This window comes from Homo sapiens, chromosome Y (assembly GCF_000001405.40).
Source record: "Homo sapiens chromosome Y, GRCh38.p14 Primary Assembly".
Taxonomy (NCBI): Eukaryota; Metazoa; Chordata; class Mammalia; order Primates; family Hominidae; genus Homo; species Homo sapiens.
Window position 1 is genome coordinate 24,762,382 of NC_000024.10, and position 27,889 is coordinate 24,790,270.

General features: G+C 36.1%; 1 protein-coding gene across 1 annotated transcript in view; it reads right to left on the reverse strand.

Moving 5' to 3' along the window:
• DAZ3 (deleted in azoospermia 3) overlaps positions 688–27,889 on the reverse strand; it is a 50,325-nt gene continuing 23,123 nt past the window's right edge. The window contains exons 13-19 of the mRNA NM_020364.4: positions 26,513–26,584; positions 24,133–24,204; positions 21,756–21,827; positions 11,969–12,040; positions 11,189–11,223; positions 6,518–6,616; positions 688–2,544 (exon numbers count right to left, since the gene is read on the reverse strand). Of these exons, the coding sequence (NP_065097.2) occupies positions 6,553–6,616; positions 11,189–11,223; positions 11,969–12,040; positions 21,756–21,827; positions 24,133–24,204; positions 26,513–26,584 (387 nt within the window). The 3' untranslated portion in view covers positions 688–2,544; positions 6,518–6,552. The remainder of the gene's footprint in view (positions 2,545–6,517; positions 6,617–11,188; positions 11,224–11,968; positions 12,041–21,755; positions 21,828–24,132; positions 24,205–26,512; positions 26,585–27,889) is intronic.

Sequence of the window (27,889 nt, forward strand, 5' to 3'; positions counted from 1 at the left end):
ATAACCATAAATATATGCATATATAGACACATATGTACACATATATACACATAGGCACATAAAAGAATTACTAATTTTTTGCCTATTATTGGACACTAAACATCACAATTTAATCTTTGGTGATGCAGAAAGCACTGTTTGCTATCCTGCGTATCCTTGGAGTCAACTTTCTGGTTATGAATCAGCAAGCTTACTAACTAATAGAGTGTCTGAGGAGTTTCCTCTCCACTGGACTCAGCTTATAGAACTGAGTACTAACACTAAAGCTAGAAGAAGCGGTACTGATTTTTTTTTTTATGGTATCCACAGGAAGTACCTGCAATATAAAAAAATTAAGCTCCCTTAGGCAACTGCAATACCCCGAAATAAATGATCTAGAGACTAGGCCCAAAGTGTACAGTAGACAAAATGCTTCATAGGGTCCAAAATGTGAGGGACCTTAGCCGTGAGATAGCAGAGTCGGATGTGTTCATCAGCATTCCTAGTCTGCACTGCTGTTGATGCACCTCTTAAACTTATCTTTGTACCTACATTTGCTTTTATGGGCTAACTCAGACAGATTAGTATACTGAACTTTATACTTCTGCATTTTAAGAATCTAAAGCTTGTTATACGAATTTAAACCTTGTTACACAGTTCCCACGCAACTCCCCACCATTTTACATTATTACATCGGAAAGCCAAAAACACATTTGAAGAAAAAAAGTTTATTTTTATTCATTTATGCAAAGACAGTATCAGCAATAGGTAGTAGGAACATTTTTCTCAGTTTAGAATTAATTTTCCATTTTGAAAGGGACTTAATATCTTCTTTACCTTACTCTATTAAATACTTCAACAAAGACAAAAATTTATTCCTTTACTTTTCCTTAAGGTCATATCGGAATAATTAGAATTAACTCTTTAGAATGTAGGTATCATTTACAGAAATCTGGAGATTTAATCACAGAATGATGTATGTCGGAATGTTAAAAGCACTAAAAAAACTATGGATAATTTTTTAATGGACAAAGTCATGGTGCTTTCAATTTCTGAGGTGTAATAAAGCCTTCTTGGGAATTCTAAAGTTTAAAGACTGTATCCTTCGGATTCCGAATGAAAATTTTGAGAAATCATAGACCCCAGTGGGCATTAGTAATATGGCCCATAGTAACGACATTAACTTAGAGTCTCCACGTTTTAGGGAAGAAGCCATTGAAAGAAGGGCCAGAAAGCCACTTTAAACACATGTCCATGGCAGATCAAATGATACTGATACAAATGTTTCCCTTAGAAAGGTATTATATCCCATTGCTACCATTCCACGGCTTGGCCTTTGAACTGCTCATACAGCTACTTCCATTCTTTACATCACCAGTTCTAAGAGCAAACCTCCTGAAAGACTAGTAAAAGAGGCTGGGAAAACAAGACTGTGAGTATAGCAAAAGGGCTCTGGTGCTCTAGCTGTGTGGTCACAATATAAAATGAGGACACTACCTAATCTAGAAACAACATGCCTCTTCTGGACATATTTTATTTTACAGAAGGAAATATAACAGGCTAAAAAACAAAAATAAAAATCTATTTATAGCAAGTAACTAATACTTCAATGTTTTTATAAAAACAATTCCTTTCAGATACTCCGATTAACCTTTGAGTGACATAAAAAAGCTGCAGCGTTCTTTAATACCAGTATTTTGCAAATTTCACATACAGCCATTAAGTTTAGCATTTCAAGGAACAATTTTTTTTATAAAAAAGAATGGTAACTCATTGAGAAGGTTATATACCCAGTAAAGTTTAGTTTGTCTTGGATTCTTTAAAAAATTAGGCCCAGAATTTTAGTTATCCTAACTACTATCCCAATCAAATTGGACATACATATGTGGATTCTAGATAAAAGATAAAATACTTTGAATAAACATTATGACTCACTGATTGGACTGTTTGCTTAGAATCTGTTTTACTGGGTTTGGATAAGACTTCAATAAAGCTAACTATACATTGAGTTCCACTGATTAAAAATGCAGTTTTAAAAATTCTGCTTTTGAGGTAAATTTCTAGATAAATCATAAATGCAAAGCTCAATACTGAAATATTGTACTGTTCACAGGTACTTCTTGGAGAAGTGAAATGCTTGTGTTCAGACTATCAAAATTGTTAGCTTTCAAATCAGGTTTTAAAAACTTTTTTGAAAGTCAGTATTTGCTTTTAAACACTTAAAATGCAAGTTTCAATTTTTTAAAAATCCTTGCAGATAAATCTTAACATTCTTTCAGTCTCGATTATTTGTTACTTTAAACTATATATTAAACACAGAACCAGGTTCTAAATAAACATCTAATGAAGAACAGTTTCAGTGTTAAGATAAAACTAGAGAGTCTAATAATACAAGTTATACAGAAAGTTTCAGTGTGATTTACCAAAATTCAGAATTTCTGTAATAGTGGAAAACTTTTAGCTTAATATTCAAAACCAGCAACTTCCCATGAAACTAGATAGCTGAGAGGATCCAACAGATTTAAATACTGCCAAACTTCTTCTAAAGCGATGCACTCTTTTACCCTGGAAAAGACAGAAATAGTCCTTTTATTTTACTGAAAATTTCTGATGACTACTATGGATCTGAAAGTTGTCAAAACTTAAACCATTTGTTTTGGGTTTAAACATTATAAATAATGAGAAAAAAAGATGATTCTTTTCAGGAAGCATATTTGAACACTGGGATAACAAATGTACCAAGATGGCTAGTTTTATTAAACAGTTAAAAAAAGAAATCAATAATTAAATAAAACAAATTCCAGTAAACTGAGAAATAAAAGGACTTAAACTCAGTATCATTTTATGTACTTCTTAGTTAATAATTTTGCAGTAATGTCCCAAAGACAGCTGGTAGAAAATGTAATTGTAAAGAATACTTTTTTCACTAATTGAACTGCATTTAATACCAACTACAGCTTGCGAACTGCTCTCCAATCTGAAATTTCGTGTTTTTAGATTAAAATATGTAAGTTTTGGCATTTGAAGAACATATCATTAACCTGTGAAGACATATCATTCTTTAGAAAGGAAGATAAAACTTTAAAATACATGCAAAACTTTCTTTTCACTCTATGTTGCCTGCAGACGTGCAGAGAGAAGTGAGAGGTCTTACAAGGAGGAATGGGAATGAGTGAACGAGTAATAACATTTCCTTTTCTACAAAGCTGTGCCCTTTTTTTAAGACTTCAGTTTCATTTTCATATAAATAAAAGTGGCTTCTGGAAGTTACCTCATCTGTCAAAAGAGTGATAATCAATTTAGGTTAAAATCTAGAAAACTGGTCACCAACATGTATATTCAGAGGTCATGTAGGAAACAAGATTGTGAAAGGGCTAGATAACTAAGACAATGAAGAGAAATCGGCTATGGAAATTGTAAATACATTCAAAAATATCTCAGGCATTCTAATTCAATATAACAACGTGCAGTCAATTAAAATAGGTCTAAATGTCAGACAACTGCAGGATGCCAACTTCTGATTCCTCTCCCAAATAAGCAGAAAACTCTGGAAGTTTCAAAGCGAGTCTTTTGTCTACCACCAGGTGAGAACTCAAGTTTAAAAAAATATTTTCTGGGCTGGACATGGTGGCATACGCCTGTAATCCCAGCACTTTGGGAGGCTGAGGCAGGAGGATCACTTGAGCCCAGGAGTTCAAGACGAGCCAGGGCAATATAGTAAGATTCTCTCTTAAAAAAAAATCTTTTGGCTGGGCACGGTGGCTCACACCTGTAATCCCAGCAATTTGGGAGGCCGAGGCGGGCAGATCACAAGGTCAGGAGATCGAGACCATCCTGGCTAACACGATGAAACCCCATCTCTACTAAAAACACAAAAAATTAGCTGGGCGTGGTGGCAGGCACCTGTAGTCCCAGCCACTCGGGAGGCTGAGGCAGGAGAATGGCATGAACCTGGGAGGCAGAACTTGCAGTGAGCCAAGATCGCACCACTGCACTCCAACCTGGGTGACACAGTGGGACTCTGTCTCAAAAAAAAAAAAAAAAATTTCTTTTTAACTAGCTAAGTGTGGTGGTGCACGTCTGTCGTCCTATTTGGGACGCTGAGGCAGAAGGATCCCTTGAGTGCAGGAGTTTGAGGTTGTAGTAAGCTGTGATTGCGACACTGCACTCCAGCCTGGATGACCAAATGAGGTCACCTCAAAAAAAAAAAAAAGAAAGAAAGAAAGAAACACAAAAAACTATCTTCTGCTTTGAAAATCACTTAAGTACTACTGTAGACACCAATGTAATCAGAATTTTCGGCAAGATAAGCTGATGTACAATTCCAGTTCTTTCTTTTCTAAATTGTACTATCTATATAGAACGAAGCAACAAGAGAACAAATGTCAAATTTAAATATATTTACTCCATGTTGCAAAGATGTTAAGAACTTAATTCTGCTATCTGGCTCTACTCTTCTACATTATACAGAAGATTCATAATATAACCCTTTAAAAAGGCTTAGGCTTCATCCCATATCCATTCACAGACAAAAATAAGCTAGTTCTGTTGTAAGACACAAAGTGATGGTTAAACATTTTCTTTTGAATGTAAAGTGTGTAGCCAGTTTTGACAAATCTGGCAGTTCCACTAAAGGTTAAATATGACTTAGCAATTCCATTCCCAAGTATATACGCAAGAGAGGTAAGCACGTATGTCCCCACAGTAACTTGTACATGAATGTTCACAGCATTAGTTATAACAGCTAAAAAGTGGAAATAATCCAAATGTCTTTAACAGATGAATGCATAAACAGAATAAGGTAATATCTACAAATAAAAAGAAATGATTAAGTTCTGATACGTGCTAGAATATTGATGAACCTTACAAACATTATGCTGAGTGAAAAAATCCAGTCACAAAATGCCACATCATTATGTATGATTCCATATACAAGAAATCTCCAGGACAGGAAAATCCTTAGAGGAAAAAAGTAAATTAGTGTTTGCCTAGGGATACACACAAGTTCCAGGAAAATAGCAGGTGACTGCTAAGGTACGGGGGTGATTTTTGAGGTGATTTAAGTATTCTAAAATTGATTGTGGACATGGTTGCACAACTTTGAATATATGAAAAAACAGTGAAGTGCACATTTTAAATACATAAATTGTATTACTGGTATTATTTTAATAAAATTGTTATTTAAAAAACACCTTCCCTTTATTAACCATAATATTTTTCTCCCACCGGACTGACCAAGTTAGTTCTTTTTCGTATTTATAGACTTAGAACCACAGGGACCCAGAAACCTTTAGTCCTGTACCTTCTCATTTTAGACTTGTAAGAATTAGAGCCTTAATAAAAGATTTATCTATCCAACATGGATAGAAAGTGGGATCAGAAGTCAGATCTTTCTGGAATTCAACTAGCCACATTCTCTTCCGCTTCACCAACTCTGAATCAACCTCTCTTTCTACTCAACTTTTTACTGCTTCATTTTACCCCTTTTCTCCCTTCACACTGTTCAGGTGTATCATCTGAGTAAATCATTTCTTTTCTTCTCTTTAGTCCAATATGCATGTATTAAGTTCTACTTTTTTTTTTTTTTTTTTTTTTTTTTTTTTTTTTTTTGAGACAAGGTCTCTCACTCTGTTGCCCAGGCTGGACTACAACGGCACAATCATGGCTCAGTGCAGCCTCAACTTCCCAGGCTCAAGCGATCCTCCTGCCTCAGACTCCTCTGGAGTAGTTGGCACTACAGGCATGTACCATCACAACTGGCTGATTTTTGTATTTTTTTGTAGAGATGGTGTTTTGCCTTGTTACCCAGGGTGGCCTCGAACTCCTGAGCTCAAGCAATCCACCCACCTCAGCCCCCCAAAGTGTTGGGATTACAGGCGTGAGCCTCTGCACCCAGCCAAGATCTCCTTTCTGTATCTAAAATTTTATTTTACTATTTGGTCAAGGTAGTCAACTAACTCTCTTCTCTAGTAAACCCTTTCAATTACAAATTTCTGCTGCAGGATTCTTCCCTAAATTTGACTACATTATATCAAGGCTCGGCAGCAGAAAATATACTGCCAGGTAAAACCCACACTGGTTTACTGGGTTACAGTCAAATGCCAACAGTTCAATTAAATGTTCTAGGCCGGGCACGGTGGCTCATGCCTGTAATCCCAGCACTTTGGGAGGCTGAGGCAGGTGGATCACGAGGTCAGGAGATCGAGACCATCCTGGCTAACACGGTGAAACCCCGTCTCTACTAAAAATACAAAAAATTAGCTGGGCGTGGTGGTGGGCGCCTGTAGTCCCAGCTACTCGGAAGGCTGAGGCAGGAGAATGGCGTTAAGTAAACCTGGGAGGTGGAGCTTGCAGTGAGCCTAGATGGGGCCACTCACTGCACTCCAGCCTGGGCGACAGAGGAGACTCCGTCTCAAAACAAAAAAAAAAGAAAAAAAATTCCTCTAAGAAAGCCCAAAATACATGTGCCACAAGGAAAACAGCTAACTTGAGAGGGAACAAGTGTGCTTTTTAATTATGCATGCCATTCCTTTCATACCTTGAAGCAGTCATCTTGAGTAACAACGGAATTTATCAGTCTCTTCTCTGGATTAAACAGACAAGATACCACCATTTGTATGCTTCGGTCCACAGATTTCTGAAACACAGAAGTTTTCAGTAATGTAAAGACAACTCTTTCTTTCACTCACTCTTAATAAGGGTGTGTTTTGGTTTTTCTTTTGATGGTTTAATGAACATATCAGTTTATTTCCAAAGAAATGCAAAAATGCTAAAAGAGGCTGGGAGCAGTGGCTCACACCTCTAATCCCAGCACTTTGGGAGGCCGAGGAGGACGCATCACCTGATATCAGGAGTTCAAGACTATCCTGGCCAACATGGCGAAACCCCTTCTCCACTAAAAAATACAAAAATTAGCTGGGTGACGGGTGCCTGTAATTCCACCTATTGGGGAGGCTGAGGCAGGGAGAATTACTGGAACCTAGGAGACAGAAGTTGCAGTGAGCCGAGATCACACCACTGCACTTCCAGCCTGGGCGACACCGCAAGACCCTGTCTCAAAAAAAAAAGAAATTCATAAAAATGTGATTCATAATTCCTGCCACATATCCTCAGTATGTACGTTTTCTGACAAATCGAAGAATTATTTTAGAACCTTAGCGATAGAATACTGGTTTAAAAAGCTGAATTTGTTAAATCCCTAAGTGAATTCCAATGTTTCAAGAAAACATACTCAGAACAAAACCAGACAATTATACTGTAAGAGTTATGTTTTCATATTTATTCACATTTTAAAATCCAATATCAAATCAAGGAATTTACACTGCAATGGGACTTCTTGGGTATTATACATATTACCAGCACATCAACTACTTCCACACGCCCACCTATCTAACAGAACATATGTGACGCCAGGAGTGACAGTACTGTTATTACAGAAATTTGCACTAATGATAAAAAAAAGAAACAACCCTGTCTATTTCAGTGTTTGAATAATTACTACTGACTTCACCACTGTTGGAAACTTCTGCCACATATAATGTTATGGAGAGAATGCTTATTTAAATGGTATTTTTCACTGCTTAAGATCAAAACTGTTGTAAAAGAAAAGGGACATACAATTCGTACTAATTCTTCTTTTGAGTAGAATTCTAGAGGAAACCCTCCCATAGCATTCTGCCAAATCATATTAATACAGTATTTATTAAAGAATGGCTTTTTAAAATTAGTGAAACTGAAATACAGGAAAGGACTTGCTGAATCAGAAACTTTAGGTATATACTGAAAATTTGGGGTATCTGAAATTTCAACAACCTTTACATTAACTGCTGACTATCAGTCCATTATTTAAGCTCCATGATTTATGGCTAACATTTTTAAATTTGGGCAAAAATGTTTGCTTCTCAAAAAAAGTCATTCAAATTAGAAAAAAATATGAAATATATATTGTAAAAAAAATTCAAAATTAGATGTTTGCCTTTTGTGGGCCATTTCCAGAGGGTGGGGTAGCTTCATGAATTGAGCATTCATTTAGCACAACATCACCTCCTGTATCAACTTCACTACAGTGACAGTTAAGAGCTGAATAAGCCTATATTTAAAATAATGAAAGTGTAATTAAACAGATAATACAGATACGTTTAAAAGCTACTTATTTATTCCTCAAAAAGGTGAGCTGGTATCAAAAGTTTCAATGTAGGTTGTGTTGAAATTCAATTGTGTTACTTCAGAAACCTTGTTTTAAACGAAAAGTTGAAATGCATTAAGGCAGCCTTTTGTTTTAAAACGTCTTCCAGGTATCAACATAATCAGAGGTAGAAGGATTCTAAGAAACAAATGTAGTTAAGGGAGTGTTTGAGAATTTTAACACTTACTATATCCTTCAAATATCCAATCGTGATGTAAGACAGCAGCTCTGTTGTATTAGAGGTAATACTCTTGTTTTATTCCTATTCCTCTTTAAGAGTAATTAATAGCAAAACATTTCGGTTTCTCCTCAACAAATGTTTTATGGCTAGTAAAGCCAGAGGCATATTCTAGGCAGATACATGCTAATTCTAAAGCCAGTTAATACCGCCATTCCTGGATTATATAATCTATCAACAAGTAACTGAACACTTATCATTATGTGGACCAGCCACTGTTTCAGCACACAAAAATGTGAGAGACAAAAAGGCACTGTTGCTCCCATGGGAGTTTATAATTGGGTTAAAAATAAAGTAACAAAACATAAAACATTAATATAAAGAACCATTTAAAAATATCTACAGGCATATATGGCATAGAAAAAAGTCAAGAAAGATGAGGAAGTATACGTTTCACTAATTCACTTTACTCCATAACCCCTTTTGCTCCCCAACAGGCCACTGCGGTAGCACCTTAAAAAAATAAAAAGAAGGAAACCAAAACTATTAAAATATTCCTACACATTTTCAAAAACTCATGAGATACACAATATTGAAGCACTTATCATGCTGGCTCATTTGTTATTAAAGTGAAAGAAACAGAGTAAAAAAAAAAAAAGAAGTACTTTATGTTTCTAATCCCTGATGTTCTTGTTACTTTTATACATAAAACCTCGCCATTTTCCCAATTTTCTGGAGTTGGCATTGTGGAAATCTCAAGGATACTAGTTTTTTCAATTTATTACTTATCACCATAGATATGATTATGGGTCACAGATGTAGTCATATCTATGAAAAGAGGCCCAGAGAACTACTATCATGAAGCAGCAAGCTTAAAATAAAAATATAATTGGAATTCTGTGCTCTAAGAATGGGATGATAAAAAGATGAAAAAGATGAAAAAATACACGCTGAAATATAGAAGGGGACAACGAATCTCAGAAAACTGTTTTACAGAAAAGTTATTGCTAAGTATATCCCTGTCAAAATGTTAATTCATTACTTCTAAATAATACAGAGGGCTTCATTCTAGACCATTGCAAGTGTTTTCCTAAATTTTAGGTACATTTCACTAGTTTAAAATGACACACTATTTGGGAAATTCATATAAACAAGTTAAAGGCTTCAATAATATCTGAAAACAAATCATTTTACTCCCTCTTCAATTACCTGATAATTACATACAGGCAACTGACACCCAGTGGTGACCTGACCTGGTGAATTTGGATAAGTAGGATATGTCTGAAAGTAAGTTTACAGAAAGAATGAATATGGTAAAACATCTTTTTAAATTAGAAAAAAATATTATTCCCAAAATAAAAAAAATGAAAAACTTTAAAATATTTATTAATTTTCTATATAAAACAATGCAGAATTCTAAATGAATGAATGACTTCAGGAAGAAATAAATATTCTCTGTCAAGTGCTAAGCCCCTTTGGGTGGGGCGGGGGAACACACAAATGACAAAGTAGTGACTATTTCACCAGGCAAAGTTCACCTTACTGACACTGTGTACTTATGCCCACCCAGAAGTTGTTTCTTACACTGCTGGTAAGGCTCCATTAAGACAGATCTCAATGTAAGTTAAGTTAATACATTTGCTATTTCTTTGTCAATATACTTCCAGATAGTTTTGTGTTTGACAATATTACAGGGTAATATGTAGTTCTCCTACAGATGTTATGTTTTTTTTCTGTACTTCATTTCGAAAAACTAAGGGCAGTGTACAATCCAAAACTGGAGAAGGACAGTACGATGTCTTATATGTTTCGATAAATACTTATTGTTTGAAAACATATAGGAAGCAGCATACATGAATACACCCAAATTCAGTAATGGCTCACCGTAAATGTTAGAAACAAGTAGGGCTTTGTCTCTAGCCATTGTTCAGAGAAGAAAAAAGAAGAAGAGGTATATCCTACACATTTCAAGTACACAGAAAATGTCAATAAATGAGAGACACTGAAGAACTATTTCACTACTATTTTGTTACTTTATTTTCCATCAAAGAAAATGTCTTTTAAACTAACACATAAATAAAATGGACTAAGAAGAAAACAGACGTTATTTATCACCAATAAGTGATAGAGTATGTCAAATCCTACTTTAAATATCAAAGTAATCAGGATCAGAGAAATTACATGCCAGAAATTCACAGGATTTATAGGTACAGTAAAATAGGTCAGAAATCTATACATTCCAGACCGAGAATATATCCCGAAGTCAGCAGTTTATATGAGGAGTCAACTGGAAATCATTGCAAGTAAAGAAGAGCTAGATTAATCGCTATCCTTAAAGAATAAACTAGGCAGAAACATTAGAACAGCTGCTTTCAAATGTTTTCAGAACTAGGTATAATGGGGGAAAGAAGTTCAGGTATTTTAGAGGTAATACTCTTTTTTTATTCCTATTCTTATTTAAGAGTAATTAACAGCAAAACATTTCTGTTTCTCTTCAACAAATTTTTTGTGGCTGGTAAAACCAGAGGCAGACCCTACGCAGATACATGCTAATTCTAAAGTGACATTAATACTATCTTTCTTAGATTACACAGTCTATCAACAAGTAACTGAACACTTATTATGTGGACCAGCCACTCCTTAAGCACACAAAAACCTGAGAGAGAAAAAGGCACTGTTGCACCCATGGGAGATTGTAACTGGGTTAAAAAGAAAGTAACAAAATGTAACACATTAATATAAAGAATCATTTAAAATATTTATAAGGCATAAATGATATGGAAAATAATCCAGAAAGAACAGAAGTACATGGTAGGCTAATTCACTTTACCAGAGGTACAACCTACCTCCTTTGCTCCCCAACAGGGCACTGCGGTGGCATCTTAAAAAAAAAATAGGAAAACAAAATTATTCAAATATTCATAAACATTTTCAAAAACAAATGATATATAAAATATTGAAGTACCTATGCTGGCTCCTTTGTTATTATAATAAAAGAAAGACAATGGAAAAAAAGAAGTACTTTATGGTTCTAATTCCTGACATTCTTGTTGTTACTTCCACATACAAATACGAAACCACACCTTTTCCCCAATTTTTGGATTTGGCATTGTGGAAATCTCAAAGATGTTACTACTTTGAACTTATTATGCTACATATGATTATTGGTCATAGATAGAGTCCTCTCTACTATGAAAAGAGAACCAGACAACAATTGTCGGGAAACAGCCTACTAAATGAAACTATAATTTGAATTATGTGCTCTAAGAATTGGGTAATAATTTTATTTACTCTATATCCCTAAAAAATTCATGAAAGTCATTCTGGAGGTTTCATTCAGCTATTTGACAGCAAAGATGAAAACTATATCCTGAAATATAGAAGGGTCAAATCTCAGAAAACTGTTCTACAGAAAAGTTATTGCCAAGTACATTCCTGTCAAAATATTACTTCATTACTTCTAAATCAGACAGAGGTCTTCATTCTACACTAATTCTAAGTGTTTCCTTAAATATTAGGTACACTTCACTAGTTTAAAATGACCAACTATTCAGGAAATTTGTATAAACAAGTTAAAGGCCTCAATAATACCTGAAAGCAAATCATTTCATTCCTTCTTACATTACCTGGTAATTGTATACATGGAACTGATATCCAGTGGTGACCTGAACTGCTGAATTTGGATAAGCAGGAAATGCCTGAAAAGAAAGGTGGCAGAAAAAAAAGAATATGGTAAACCATTTTTTAAAATTAGAAAGAAATATCATTCCCAATGTAACAAAAATATTAAAAACGTTAAAATATCATTTTTCTACATACAACAATGCAGAATTCTAAATGAATGACTGACTTTATGAAGAAAGAAATAGTCTATGTCATGTGCCACACTTTGGGTGTGAAGGGGGAACAAATGACAAAAGAATTGACTATTTCACCAAAGTTTACCTTATACTGTGTACTTATTCACACCCAGAAATTCTTTCTTACACCGGTGATAAGGCTCCATTAAGACAGATTGCAATGTAAGTTAAATTTATACATTTGCTATTTCAATGTCAGAATATTTCTAGACTGTTTTGTATCAGACAATATTAAAGGGTAATATGTAGTTCTATAGATATTAGTGCTATGTTTGTACTTCATTCCAAAAAACTAAGTGCAGTCTATAATCCAATACTGGAGAAGAGAAAGTATAATGTCTTATATGTTTCAATGAATTCTTATTGTTTGAAAACATACAGGTAGCAGCATACATGAATATGCCCTGATTCAGTAATGCCGCACAGTAAATGACAGAAACAAGTAGGGCTTTTTTTCCAGCCATTGTTCAGAGAAGGAAAAAGAAGAGGTATACCACACATGTTTCAAGTACATGGAAAACATCAACAAATTAGAGACACTGCAGAACTATTGGACTATTATTTTGTTACTTCATTTTCCGTCAAAGAAAATGTCTTTAAAGCTAACACATAAATAAAACGAACTAAGAAGAATATAAACGTCCTTTATCAACATTAAGTGATGGAGTATGTCAAAACCTACTTTAAATATCAGTGTAAGCAGGATCAGAGAAATTAGATGCAAGAAGCTCACGGGATTTATATACCTACTAAACCACATCAGAAATCTACCCATTCCCGAACCAGAATATATCCAGAAGTCAGCAATTTATATGAGGAGGCATCTGGAAATCATTTCAAATAAAGGGTAGCTAGATGAACTGTTAAACTTACCGAAGAATGAAGTAGGCAGACACATAAGGAGAGCTGCTTTCATTCACTTTAGGAACTGGTTATAAGGAGGAAAGCAGCTCTGGTGCTTTGGAGGTAATACTCTCGTTTACTCCTATTCTTATTTAAGCGCAATTAACAGCAAAGCATTTCTGTCTCTGTTCTACAAATTTTCTGTTGCTGGTAAAGCCAGAGGCAGAATCTACGCAGATGCATGCTAATTCAAAAGCCACATGAATACTACCTTTCTTTGATGATATGGTCTATCATTAAGTGGACCTGCCATTGCTTAAGCAAGTAAAAACCTCAGGGCAAAAAAGGCACTGTTGCTCCCATGGGAGTTTACAATCGGGTTAACAAGAAAGTAAAAAAATAAACTAAAACATTGATATAAAAATCACTTAAAAATAGTAATAGGCATATACGACGTGGAAAAAAACCAAGAATGAACAGGAAGTCTATGTTTGGCTAATTCACTTAACATCAAGGAAAACATAATCCCTTTGCTCCCCAACAGGCCCCTATGGTGGCATCTTGAAAAAAAAAGGGGGGTGGGGGAGGAGCCAAGATGGCCGAATAGGAACAGCTCCAGTCTATAGCTCCCAGCGTGAGCGACGCCGAAGACGGGTGATTTCTGCATTTCCATCTGAGGTACCGGGTTCATCTCACTAGGGAGTGCCAGACAGTGGGCGCAGGTCAGTGGGTGGGCTCACCGCGTGCGAGCGGAAGCAGGGCGAGGCATTGCCTCACTTGGGACGCGCAAGCGGTCAGGGAGTTCCCTTCTGAGTCAAAGAAAGGGGTGACGGATGCCACCTGGAGAATCGGGTCACTCCCACCCGAATACTGCGCTTTTCCGACGGGCTTAAAAAACGGCACACCACTAGATTATATCCCGCACCTGGCTCGGAGGGTCCTACGCCCACGCAGTCTCACTGATTGCTAGCACAGCAGTCTGAGATCAAACTGCAAGGCGGCAACGAGGCTGGGGGAGGGGCGCCCGCCATTGCCCAGGCTTGATTAGGTAAACAAAGCCGCAGGGAAGCTCCAACTGGGTGGAGCCCACCACAGCTCAAGGAGGCCTGCCTGCCTCTGTAGGCTCCACCTCTAGGGGCAGGGCACAGACAAACAAAAAGACAGCAGTAACCTCTGCAGACTTAAATGACCCTGTCTGACAGCTTTGAAGAGAGCAGTGGTTCTCCCAGCACGCAGCTGGAGATCTGAGAACGGGCAGACTGCCTCGTCAAGTGGGTCCCTGACCCCTGACCCCCCGAGCAGCCTAACTGGGAGGCACCCCCCAGCAGGGGCACACTGACACCTCACACGGCAGGGTATTCCAACAGACCTGCAGCTGAGGGTCCTCTCAGTTAGAAGGAAAACTAACAAACAGAAAGGACATCCACACCAAAAACCCATCTGTACATCACCATCATCAAAGACCAAAAGTAGATAAAACCACAAAGAGGGGGAAAAAACAGAACAGAAAAACTGGAAACTCTAAAAAGCAGAGCACCTCTCCTCCTCCAAAGGAACGCAGTTCCTCACCAGCAACGGAACAAAGCTGGATGGAGAATGACTTTGACGAGCTGAGAGAAGAAGGCTTCAGACGATCAAATTACTCTGAGCTACGGGAGGACATTCAAACCAAAGGCAAAGAAGTTGAAAACTTTGGAAAAAAAAATGTAGAAGAATGTATAACTAGAATAACCAATACAGAGAAGTGCTTAAAGGAGCTGATGGAGCTGAAAACCAAGGCTCAAGAACTACGTGAAGAATGCAGAAGCCTCAGGAGCTGATGCGATCAACTGGAAGAAAGGGTATCAGCAATGGAAGATGAAATGAATGAAATGAAGTGAGAAGGGAAGTTTGGAGAAAAAAGAATAAAACGAAATGAGCAAAGCCTCCAAGAAATATGGGACTATGTGAAAAGACCAAATCTACGTCTGCTTGGTGTACCTGAAAGTGATCAGGAGAATGGAACCAAGCTGGAAAACACTCTGCAGGATATTATCCAGGAGAACTTCCCCAATCTAGCAAGGCAGGCCAACGTTCAGATTCAGGAAATACAGAGAACGCCACAAAGATACTCCTCGAGAAGAGCAACTCCAAGACACATAATTGTCAGATTCACCAAAGTTGAAATGAAGGAAAAAATGTTAAGGGCAGCCAGAGAGAAAGGTCGGGTTACCCTCAAAGGGAAGCCCATCAGACTAACAGTGGATCTCTCGGCAGAAACCCTACAAGCCAGAAGAGAGTGGGGGCCAATATTCAACATTCTTAAAGAAAATAATTTTCAACCCAGAATTTCATATCCAGCCAAACTAAGCTTCATAAGCGAAGGAGAAATAAAATACTTTACAGACAAGCAAATGCTGAGAGATTTTGTCACCACCAAGCCTGCCTTATAAGAGCTCCTGAAGGAAGCACTAAACATGGAAAGGAACAACCGGTACCAGCCGCTGCAAAATCATGCCAAAATGTAAAGACCATCGAGACTAGGAAGAAACTGCATCAACTAACAAGCAAAATAACCAGCTAACATCATAATGACAGGATCAAATTCATACATAACAATATTAACTTTAAATGTCAATGGACTAAATGCTCCAATTAAAAGACACAGACTGGCAAACTGGATAAAGAGTCAAGACCCATCAGTGTGCTGTATTCAGGAAACCCATCTCACGTGCAGAGACACACATAGGCTCAAAATAAAAGGATGCAGGAAGATCTACCAAGCAAATGGAAAACAAAAAAAGGCAGGGGTTGCAATCCTAGTCTCTGATAAAACAGACTTTAAACCAACAAAGATCAAAAGAGACAAAGAAGGCCATTACATAATGGTAAAGGGATCAATTCAACAAGAAGAGCTAACTATCCTAAATATATATGCACCCAATACAGGAGCACCACGATTCATAAAGCAAGTCCTGAGTGACCTACAAAGAGACTTAGACTCCCACACATTAATAATGGGAGACTTTAACACCCCACTGTCAACATTAGACAGATCAACGAGACAGAAAGTCAACAAGGATACCCAGGAATTGAACTCAGCTCTGCACCAAGTGGACCTAATAGACATCTACAGAACTCTCCACCCCAAATCAACAGAATATACATTTTTTTTCAGCACCACACCACACCTATTCCAAAACTGACCACATACTGGGAAGTAAAGCTCTCCTCAGCGGATGTAAAAGAACAGAAATTATAACAAACTATCTCTCAGACCACAGTGCAATCAAACTAGAACTCAGGATTAAGAATCTCACTCAAAACCACTCAACTACATGGAAACTGAACAACCTGCTCCTGAATGACTACTGGGTACATAACAAAATGAAGGCAGAAATAAAGATGTTCTTTGAAACCAACGAGAACAAAGACACAACATACCGGAATCTCTGGGATGCATTCAAAGCAGTGTGTAGAGGGAAATTTATAGCACTAAATGCCCACAAGAGAAAGCAGGAAAGATCCAAAATTGACACCGTAACATCACAATTAAAAGAACTAGAAAAGCAAGAGCAAACACAGTCAAAAGCTAGCAGAAGGCAAGAAATAACTAAGATCAGAGCAGAACTGAAGGAAATAGAGACACAAAAAACCCTTCAAAAAATTAATGAATCCAGGAGCTGGTTTTTTGAAAGGATCAACAAAAGTGACAGACCGCTAGCAAGACTAATAAAGAAAAAAAGAGAGAAGAATCCAATAGACGCAATAAAAAATGATAAAGGGGATATCGCCACTGATCACACAGAAATACAAACTACCATCAGAGAATACTACAAACACCTCTACGCAAATAAACTAGAAAATCTAGAAGAAATGGATAAACTCCTCGACACATACACTCTCCCAAGACTAAACCAGGAAGAAGTTGAATCTCTGAATAGACCAATAACAGGAGCTGAAATTGTGGCAATAATCAATAGCTCACCAACCAAAAAGAGTCCAGGACCAGATGGATTCACAGCCGAATTCTACCAGAGGTACAAGGAGGAACTGGTACCATTCCTTCTGAAACTATTCCAATCAACAGAAAAAGACAGAATCCTCCCTAACTCATTTTATGAGGCCAGCATCATTCTGATACCAAAGCCAGGCAGAGACACAACCAAAAAAGAGAATTTTAGACCAATATCCTTGATGAACATTGATGCAAAAATCCTCAATAAAATACTGGCAAAACGAATCCAGCGGCACATCAAAAAGCTTATCCACCATGATCAAGTGGGCTTCATCGCTGGGATGCAAGGCTGGTTCAATATACGCAAATCAATAAATGTAATCCAGCATATAAACAGAACCAAAGACAAAAAACACATGATTATCTCAATAGATGCAGAAAAAGCCCTTGACAAAATTCAACAACCCTTCATGCTAAAAACTCTCAATAAATTAGGTATTGATGGGACGTATTTCAAAATAGTAAGAGCTATCTATGACAAACCCACAGCCAATATCATACTGAATGGGCAAAAACTGGAAGCATTCCCTTTGAAAACTGGCACAAGAGAGGGATGCCCTCTCTCACCACTCCTATTCAACATAGTGTTGGAAGTTCTGGCCAGGGCAATTAGGCAGGAGAAGGAAATAAAGGGTATTCAATTAGGAAAGGAGGAAGTCAAATTGTCCCTGTTTGCAGACAACATGATTATATATCTAGAAAACCCCATTGTCTCAGCCCAAAATCTCCTTAAGCTGATAAGCAACTTCAGCAAAGTCTCAGGATACAAAATCAATGTACAAAAATCACAAGCTTTCTTATACACCAACAACAGACAAACAGAGAGCCCAATCATGAGTGAACTCCCATTCACAATTGCTTCAAAGGGAATAAAATGCCTAGGAAATCAACTTACAAGGGATGTGAAGGACCTCTTCAAGGAGAACTACAAACCACTGCTCAAGGAAATAAAAGAGGATACAAACAAATGGAAGAACATTCCATGCTCATGAGTAGGAAGAATCAATATCGTGAAAATGGCCATACTGCCCAAGGTAATTTACAGATTCAATGCCATCCCCATCAAGCTACCAATGCCTTTCTTCACAGAATTGGAAAAAACTACTTTAAAGTTCACATGGAACCAAAAAAGAGCCCGCATTGCCAAGTCAATCCTAAGCCAAAAGAACAAAGCTGGAGGCATCACACTACCTGACTTCAAACTATACTACAAGGCTACAGTAACCAAAACAGCATGGTACTGGTACCAAAACAGAGATATAGATCAATGGAACAGAACAGAGCCCTCAGAAATAACGCCGCATATCTACAACTATCTGATCTTTGACAAACCTGAGAAAAACAAGCAATGGGGAAAGGATTCCCTATTTAATAAATGGTGCTGGGAAAACTGGCTAGCCATATGTAGAAAGCTGAAACTGGATCCCTTCCTTACACCTTATACAAAAATCAATTCAAGATGGATTAAAGACTTAAACGTTAGACGTAAAACCATAAAAACCCTAGAAGAAAACCTAGGCATTACCATTCAGGACATAGGCATAGGCGAGGACTTCACGTCTAAAACACCAAAAGCAATGGCAATAAAAGACAAAATTGACAAATGGGATCTAATTAAACTAAAGAGCTTCTGCACAGAAAAAGAAACTACCATCAGAGTGAACAGGCAACCTACAAAATGGGAGAAAATTTTCACAACCTACTCATCTGACAAAGGGCTAATATCCAGAATCTACAATGAGCTAAAACAAATTTACAAGAAAAAACAAACAACCTCATCAAAAAGTGGGTGAAGGACATGAACAGACACTTCTCAAAAGAAGACATTTATGCAGCCAAAAAACACATGAAAAAATGCTCATCATCACTGGCCATCAGAGAAATGCAAATCAAAACCACAGTGAGATACCATCTCACACCAGTTAGAATGGCAATCATTTAAAAGTCAGGAGACAACAGGTGCTGGAGAAGATGTGGAGAAACAGGAACACTTTTACACTGTTGGCGGGACTGTAAACTAGTTCAACCATTGTGGAAGTCAGTGTGGCGATTCCTCAGGGATCTAGAACTGGAAATAGCATTTGACCCAGCCATCCCATTACTGGGTGTATACACAAAGGACTATAAATCATGCTGCTATAAAGACACATGCACACGTATGTTTATTGCGGCATTATTCACAATAGCAAAGACTTGGAACCAACCCAAATGTCCAACAATGATAGACTGGATTAAGAAAATGTGGCACATATACACCATGGAATACTATGCCGCCATAAAAAATGATGACTTCATGTCCTTTGTAGGGACATGGATGAAATTGGAAATCATCATTCTCAGTAAACTATCGCAAGAACAAAAAACCAAACACCGCATATTCTCACTCATAGGTGGGAATTGAACAATGAGATCACATGGACACAGGAAGGGATATATCACACTCTGGGGACTGTTGTGGGGTGGGGGGAGGGGGGAGGGATAGCACTGGGAGATATACCTAATGCTAGATGAGGAGTTAGAGGGTGCAGAGCACCAGCATGGCACATGTATACATATGGAACTAACCTGCACAATGTGCACATGGACCCTAAAACTTAAAGCATAATTTTTTAAAAAAAAAGAATTGACTACTTCACCAAAGTTTACCTTATACTGTGTACTTATTCACACCCAGAAGTTATTTCTTACACTGGTGATAAGGCTCCATTAAGACAGATTGCAATGTAAGTTAAATTAATACATTTGCAATTTTGCTGTAAGAATATTTCTAGACTGTTTTGTATCAGACAATATTATAGGGTAATATGTAGTTCTATAGATGTTATGGCTTTGTCTGTACTTCATTCCAAAAAACTAAGTGCAGTCTATAATCCAATACTGGAGAAGAGGAAGTATAATGTCTTATATGTTTCAATAAATGCTTATTGTTTGAAAACATACAGGCAGTAGCATACATGAATACACCCAGATTCAGTAATGGCTCACAGTAAATGACAGTAACAAGTAGAGCTTTTCTTCTACCCATTGTTCAGAGAAGGAAAAATAAGAGGTATACCATACATGTTTCAAGTACATGGAAAATATCAACAAATTAGAAACACTGCAGAACTATTTCACTATTATTTTGTTACTACATTTTCCATCAAAGAAAATGTCTTTTAAGCTAACACATCAATGAAATGAACTAAGAAGAATATAAACGTTATTTATCAACAGTAAGTGATAGAGTATGTCAAACCCTACTTTAAATATCAATGTCACCAGGATCAGAGAAATTAGATGCCAGAAACTCAAGCGGTTTATATATATATACTAAATCACATCAGAAATCTACCCATTCCAGAACCAGAATATATCCAGAAGTCAGCAATTTATATGAGGAGGCATCTGGAAATCATTTCAAATAAAGGATAGCTAGATGAATTGCTAAACTTACGGAAGAATAAAGTAGGCAGACACATAAGGAGAGCTGCTTTCATTCACTTTAGGAACTGCTTATACGGGGGAAAGCTGCTCTGGTGATTTGCAGGTAATACTCTCCTTTACTTCTATTCTTATTTAAGCATAATTAACAGCAAAGCATTTCTGTTTCTCTTCTATAAATTTACTACTGCTGGTAAAGCCAGAGGCAGATTCTATGCAGCTACATGCTAATTCTAAAGTCACGTGAATATTACCTTTCTTTGATTATATAGTCTATCATTATGTGGAGCTGCCATTGCTTAAGCACATAAAACCCTGAGGGCAAAAAAGGCACTGTTGCTGCCATGGGAGTTTATACTCGGGTTAACAAGAAAGTAACAACAACAACAACAAACATTAATATAGAGAGTCACTTAAAAATATTTATAGGCATATATGACATGGAAAAAAAATCAAGAATGAACAGGAAGTCTATGTTTGGCTAATTCCCTTAACGTCAAGGACAACATAATCCCTTTGCTCCCCAACAGGCCCCTAAGGTGGCATCTTTAAAAAAAAAAAAAAAAAAAGGAAACCAAAACTATTAAACTATTCCTACATATTTTCAAACACACATGAGAAACACAGTATTGAAGTACTTATTCCGCTGTCTCCTTTTTTATTATAATAAAAGTAACAGAAAGGAAAACTTAAGTACTTTATGTTTCTTGTCCATGACATTCTTGTTACTTTAAATTTGAATCTTCACCTTTCTCCAAATTTTTGGGAGTTGGCAATGTGGAAACCTCAAAAATACTAGCTCTTTCAGTTTATTACCATAGATATAGTTATGGGTCATAGATATACTTGTATCTATGAGAAGAGATCCTGAGAATGACTACCGTCAAACAGCCAGCTAAAATGAAAATATAATTGGAATTCTGTGCTCTGAAAAGTGGATCATAATTTTATTTCACTCTATCTCCCTAAAAAAATTCATGAAAGTCAGTTTGGATGTTTCATTCAGCTATTTGACAGCAAAGATGAAAACTATATCCACAAATGAAGAAGGGGACACCAAATCTCAGAAATCTCTTCTACACAAATGTTATTGCCAAGGATATTCCTGTAAAAATATTACTTCATTACTTCTAAATAAGACAGAGGTCTTCATTCTACACTAAGTCTTTCCTTAAATTTTAGGGACACTTCACTAGTTAAAAATGACCAACTATTCAGGAAATTTCTATAAACAAGTTAAAGGCCTCAATAATACCTGAAAGCAAACCATTTTACTACCTCTTACATTACCTGATAATTGTATACAGGCAACTGATATCCAGTGGTGACCTGAACTGGTGAATTTGGATAAGCAGGAAATGCCTGAAAAGGTTGCAGAAAAAATGAATATGGTAAACCACATTTTAAAATTAGAAAGAAATATAATTCCCAATATAAGAAAAATATTACAAAACGGAAAATATCCTTTTTCTACATACAACAATGCAGAATTCCAAATGAATGACTTTATGAGGAAAGAAAGATTCTATGTCAAGTGCTACACTTTGGGTGTGAAGGGGGAACAAATGACAAAGAACTGACTACTTCACCAAAATTTACCTTATACTGTGTACTTATTCACACCCAGAAATTATGTCTTACACTGGTGATAAGGTTCCACTAAGACAGATTGCAATGTAAGGTAAATCAATACATTTGCAATTTCGCTGTAAGAATATTTCCAGACTGTTTTGTATCAGACAATATTGTAGGGTAATATGTAGTTCTATAGATGTTATGGCTTTGTCTGTATTTCATTCCAAAAAACTAATTGCAGTCTATATTCCAATACTGGAGAATAAAAAGTATAATGTCTGACATGTTTCAACAAATTCTTATTGTTTGAAAACATACAGGTAGCAGCATACATGAATACACCCAGAATCACTAATGCCTCACAGTAAACGAGAGAAACAAGTAGGGCTTTTTTTCTAGCCATGGTTCAGAGAAGGAAAAAGAAGAGGTATACCATACATGTTTCAAGTACATGGAAAATATCAACAAATTAGAGACACAGCAGAACGATTTCACTATTATTTCATTACTTCATTTTCTGTCAAAGAAAATGTCTTTTAAGCTAACACATCAATGAAATGAACTAAGAAGAAAATAAACGATATTTATCAACAGTAAGTGACACACTATGTCAAACCCTACTTTAAATATCAATGTAACCACGATCAGAGAAATTACATGCCAGAAACTCACCGGGTTTATATATATATACTAAACCACGTCAGAAATCTGCCCATTCCAGAACCAGAATATATCCAGAAGTCAGCCATTTATATGAGGAGGCATGTGGCAATCATTTCAAATAAAGGATAGCTAGATAAACTGCTAAACTTACCGAAGAATAAAGTAGGCAGACACATAAGGAGAGCTGCTTTCATTCACTTTAGGAACTGCTTATAAGGGGGAAAGCAGCTCCGGTGAGTTGGAGGTAATACTCTCCTTTACTCCTATTCTTATTTAGGCGTCATTAACAGCAAAGCATTTCTGTTTCTCTTCTATAAATTTTCTACTGCTGGTAAAGCCAGAGGCATATTCTGTGCAGACACATGCTAATTCTAAAGTCACGTGAATACTCCCTTTCTTTGATTATATAGTCTATCATTATGTAGACCTGCCATTGCTTAAGCACATAAAAACCTGAGGACAAAAAAGGCACTGTTGCTGCCATGGGAGTTTATAATCGGGTTAACAAGAAGGAAACAACAACAAAAAAAACATTAACATAAAAAGTCACTTAAAAATATTTGTAGGCATATATGACATGGAAAAAAATCAAGAATGAACAGGAAGTCTATGTTTGGCTAATTCCCTTAACGTCAAGGACAACATAATCCCTTTGCTACCCAACAGGCCCCTAAGGTGGAATCTTAAAAAATCAATCAATAAATAAAAGGAAACCAAAACTATTGAAGTATTACTACACATTTTCAAAAACACATGAGAAACACAATATTAAAGTACTTATCCTGCTGTCTCCTTTTTTATTGTAATAAAAGTAACAGAAAGGAAAACTCAAATACTTTATGTTTCTAGTCCATGACATTCTTGTTACTTTTACATTGGAAACTTCAGCTTTCTCCACATTTTCGGGATTTCGCAATGTGGAAACCTCAAAGATACTAGCTCTTTCAGTTTATTACCGTAGATATAATTATGGGTCACAGATACACTTGTATCTATGAAAAGAGATCCAGAGCATTACTATCGTCAAACAGCCAGCTAAAATGAAAATGTAATTGGGATTCTGTGCTCTGAAAAGTGCAGCATAATTTTATTTCAGTCTATCTCCCTAAGAAAATTCATGAAAGACACTTTGGACGTTTCATTTAGCTATTTGACAGTAAAGATGAAAACTACATCCAGAAATGAAGAAGAGAACACCAAATCTCAGAAATCTGTTCTACAGAAAAGTTATTGCCAAGTATATTCCTGTCAAAATACTACCTCATTATTCTAAATAACACAGAGGTCTTCATTCTACACTAAGTGTTTCCTTAAATTTTAGGTACAATTCACTAGTTTAAAATGAGCAACTATTCAGGAAATTTGTATGAACAAGTTAAAGGCCTCAATAATACCTAAAAGCAAATCATTTTACTCCCTCTGACATTACCTGATAATTGTATACAGGGAACTGATATCCAGTGGCGACTTGAAATGGTGAATTTGGATAAGCAGGAAATGCCTGAAAAGAAAGGTTCCAGAAAAAAATGAATACGGTAAACCATTTTTTTAAAATTAGAAAGAAATATAATTCTGAATATAACAAAAATAGGTAAAATATTGTTTTTCTACATACAATAATGCAGAATTCTAAATGAATGACTGACTTTATGAAGAAAGAAAGATTCTATGACAAGTGCTACACTTTGGGAGTGAAGGGGGAACTAATGACAAAAGAATTGACTATTTCACCAAAGTTTACCTTATACTGTGTACTTATTCACACCCAGAAGTTATTTCTTACACTGGTGGTAAGGCTCCATTAAGAGAGATTGCAAGGTAAGTTAAATTAATACATTTGCTATTTCCCTGTCAGAATATTTCTAGACTGTTTTGTATCAGACAATATTATAGGACAATATATAGTTTGACAGATGTTATGGCTTTGTCTGTACTTCATTACGAAAAACTAAGTGCAGTCTATAATCCAATACTGGACAAGAGAAAGTATAATGTCTTATATGTTTCAAAAAATTTTTATTATCTGAAAACATACAGGTAGCAGCATACATGAATACACCCAGATTCAGTAATCGCTCACAGTAAATGACAGAAACAAGTAAGGCTTTTTTTCTAGCCATTGTTCAGAGAAGGAAAAAGAAGAGGTATACCATACATGTTTCAAGTACATGGAAAATATCACGAAATTAGAGACAACCGCAGAACTATTTCACTATTATTTTGTTACTACATTTTCCATCAAAGAAAATGTCTTTTAAGCTAACACATCAATGAAATGAACTAAGAAGAATATAAACGTTATTTATCAACAGTAAGTGATAGAGTATGTCAAACCCTACTTTAAATATCAATGTCACCAGGATCAGAGAAATTAGATGCCAGAAACTCAAGCGGTTTATATATATATACTAAATCACATCAGAAATCTACCCATTCCAGAACCAGAATATATCCAGAAGTCAGCAATTTATATGAGGAGGCATCTGGAAATCATTTCAAATAAAGGATAGCTAGATGAATTGCTAAACTTACGGAAGAATAAAGTAGGCAGACACATAAGGAGAGCTGCTTTCATTCACTTTAGGAACTGCTTATACGGGGGAAAGCTGCTCTGGTGATTTGCAGGTAATACTCTCCTTTACTTCTATTCTTATTTAAGCATAATTAACAGCAAAGCATTTCTGTTTCTCTTCTATAAATTTACTACTGCTGGTAAAGCCAGAGGCAGATTCTATGCAGCTACATGCTAATTCTAAAGTCACGTGAATATTACCTTTCTTTGATTATATAGTCTATCATTATGTGGAGCTGCCATTGCTTAAGCACATAAAACCCTGAGGGCAAAAAAGGCACTGTTGCTGCCATGGGAGTTTATACTCGGGTTAACAAGAAAGTAACAACAACAACAACAAACATTAATATAGAGAGTCACTTAAAAATATTTATAGGCATATATGACATGGAAAAAAAATCAAGAATGAACAGGAAGTCTATGTTTGGCTAATTCCCTTAACGTCAAGGACAACATAATCCCTTTGCTCCCCAACAGGCCCCTAAGGTGGCATCTTTAAAAAAAAAAAAAAAAAAAGGAAACCAAAACTATTAAACTATTCCTACATATTTTCAAACACACATGAGAAACACAGTATTGAAGTACTTATTCCGCTGTCTCCTTTTTTATTATAATAAAAGTAACAGAAAGGAAAACTTAAGTACTTTATGTTTCTTGTCCATGACATTCTTGTTACTTTAAATTTGAATCTTCACCTTTCTCCAAATTTTTGGGAGTTGGCAATGTGGAAACCTCAAAAATACTAGCTCTTTCAGTTTATTACCATAGATATAGTTATGGGTCATAGATATACTTGTATCTATGAGAAGAGATCCTGAGAATGACTACCGTCAAACAGCCAGCTAAAATGAAAATATAATTGGAATTCTGTGCTCTGAAAAGTGGATCATAATTTTATTTCACTCTATCTCCCTAAAAAAATTCATGAAAGTCAGTTTGGATGTTTCATTCAGCTATTTGACAGCAAAGATGAAAACTATATCCACAAATGAAGAAGGGGACACCAAATCTCAGAAATCTCTTCTACACAAATGTTATTGCCAAGGATATTCCTGTAAAAATATTACTTCATTACTTCTAAATAAGACAGAGGTCTTCATTCTACACTAAGTCTTTCCTTAAATTTTAGGGACACTTCACTAGTTAAAAATGACCAACTATTCAGGAAATTTCTATAAACAAGTTAAAGGCCTCAATAATACCTGAAAGCAAACCATTTTACTACCTCTTACATTACCTGATAATTGTATACAGGCAACTGATATCCAGTGGTGACCTGAACTGGTGAATTTGGATAAGCAGGAAATGCCTGAAAAGGTTGCAGAAAAAATGAATATGGTAAACCACATTTTAAAATTAGAAAGAAATATAATTCCCAATATAAGAAAAATATTACAAAACGGAAAATATCCTTTTTCTACATACAACAATGCAGAATTCCAAATGAATGACTTTATGAGGAAAGAAAGATTCTATGTCAAGTGCTACACTTTGGGTGTGAAGGGGGAACAAATGACAAAGAACTGACTACTTCACCAAAATTTACCTTATACTGTGTACTTATTCACACCCAGAAATTATGTCTTACACTGGTGATAAGGTTCCACTAAGACAGATTGCAATGTAAGGTAAATCAATACATTTGCAATTTCGCTGTAAGAATATTTCCAGACTGTTTTGTATCAGACAATATTGTAGGGTAATATGTAGTTCTATAGATGTTATGGCTTTGTCTGTATTTCATTCCAAAAAACTAATTGCAGTCTATATTCCAATACTGGAGAATAAAAAGTATAATGTCTGACATGTTTCAACAAATTCTTATTGTTTGAAAACATACAGGTAGCAGCATACATGAATACACCCAGAATCACTAATGCCTCACAGTAAACGAGAGAAACAAGTAGGGCTTTTTTTCTAGCCATGGTTCAGAGAAGGAAAAAGAAGAGGTATACCATACATGTTTCAAGTACATGGAAAATATCAACAAATTAGAGACACAGCAGAACGATTTCACTATTATTTCATTACTTCATTTTCTGTCAAAGAAAATGTCTTTTAAGCTAACACATCAATGAAATGAACTAAGAAGAAAATAAACGATATTTATCAACAGTAAGTGACACACTATGTCAAACCCTACTTTAAATATCAATGTAACCACGATCAGAGAAATTACATGCCAGAAACTCACCGGGTTTATATATATATACTAAACCACGTCAGAAATCTGCCCATTCCAGAACCAGAATATATCCAGAAGTCAGCCATTTATATGAGGAGGCATGTGGCAATCATTTCAAATAAAGGATAGCTAGATAAACTGCTAAACTTACCGAAGAATAAAGTAGGCAGACACATAAGGAGAGCTGCTTTCATTCACTTTAGGAACTGCTTATAAGGGGGAAAGCAGCTCCGGTGAGTTGGAGGTAATACTCTCCTTTACTCCTATTCTTATTTAGGCGTCATTAACAGCAAAGCATTTCTGTTTCTCTTCTATAAATTTTCTACTGCTGGTAAAGCCAGAGGCATATTCTGTGCAGACACATGCTAATTCTAAAGTCACGTGAATACTCCCTTTCTTTGATTATATAGTCTATCATTATGTAGACCT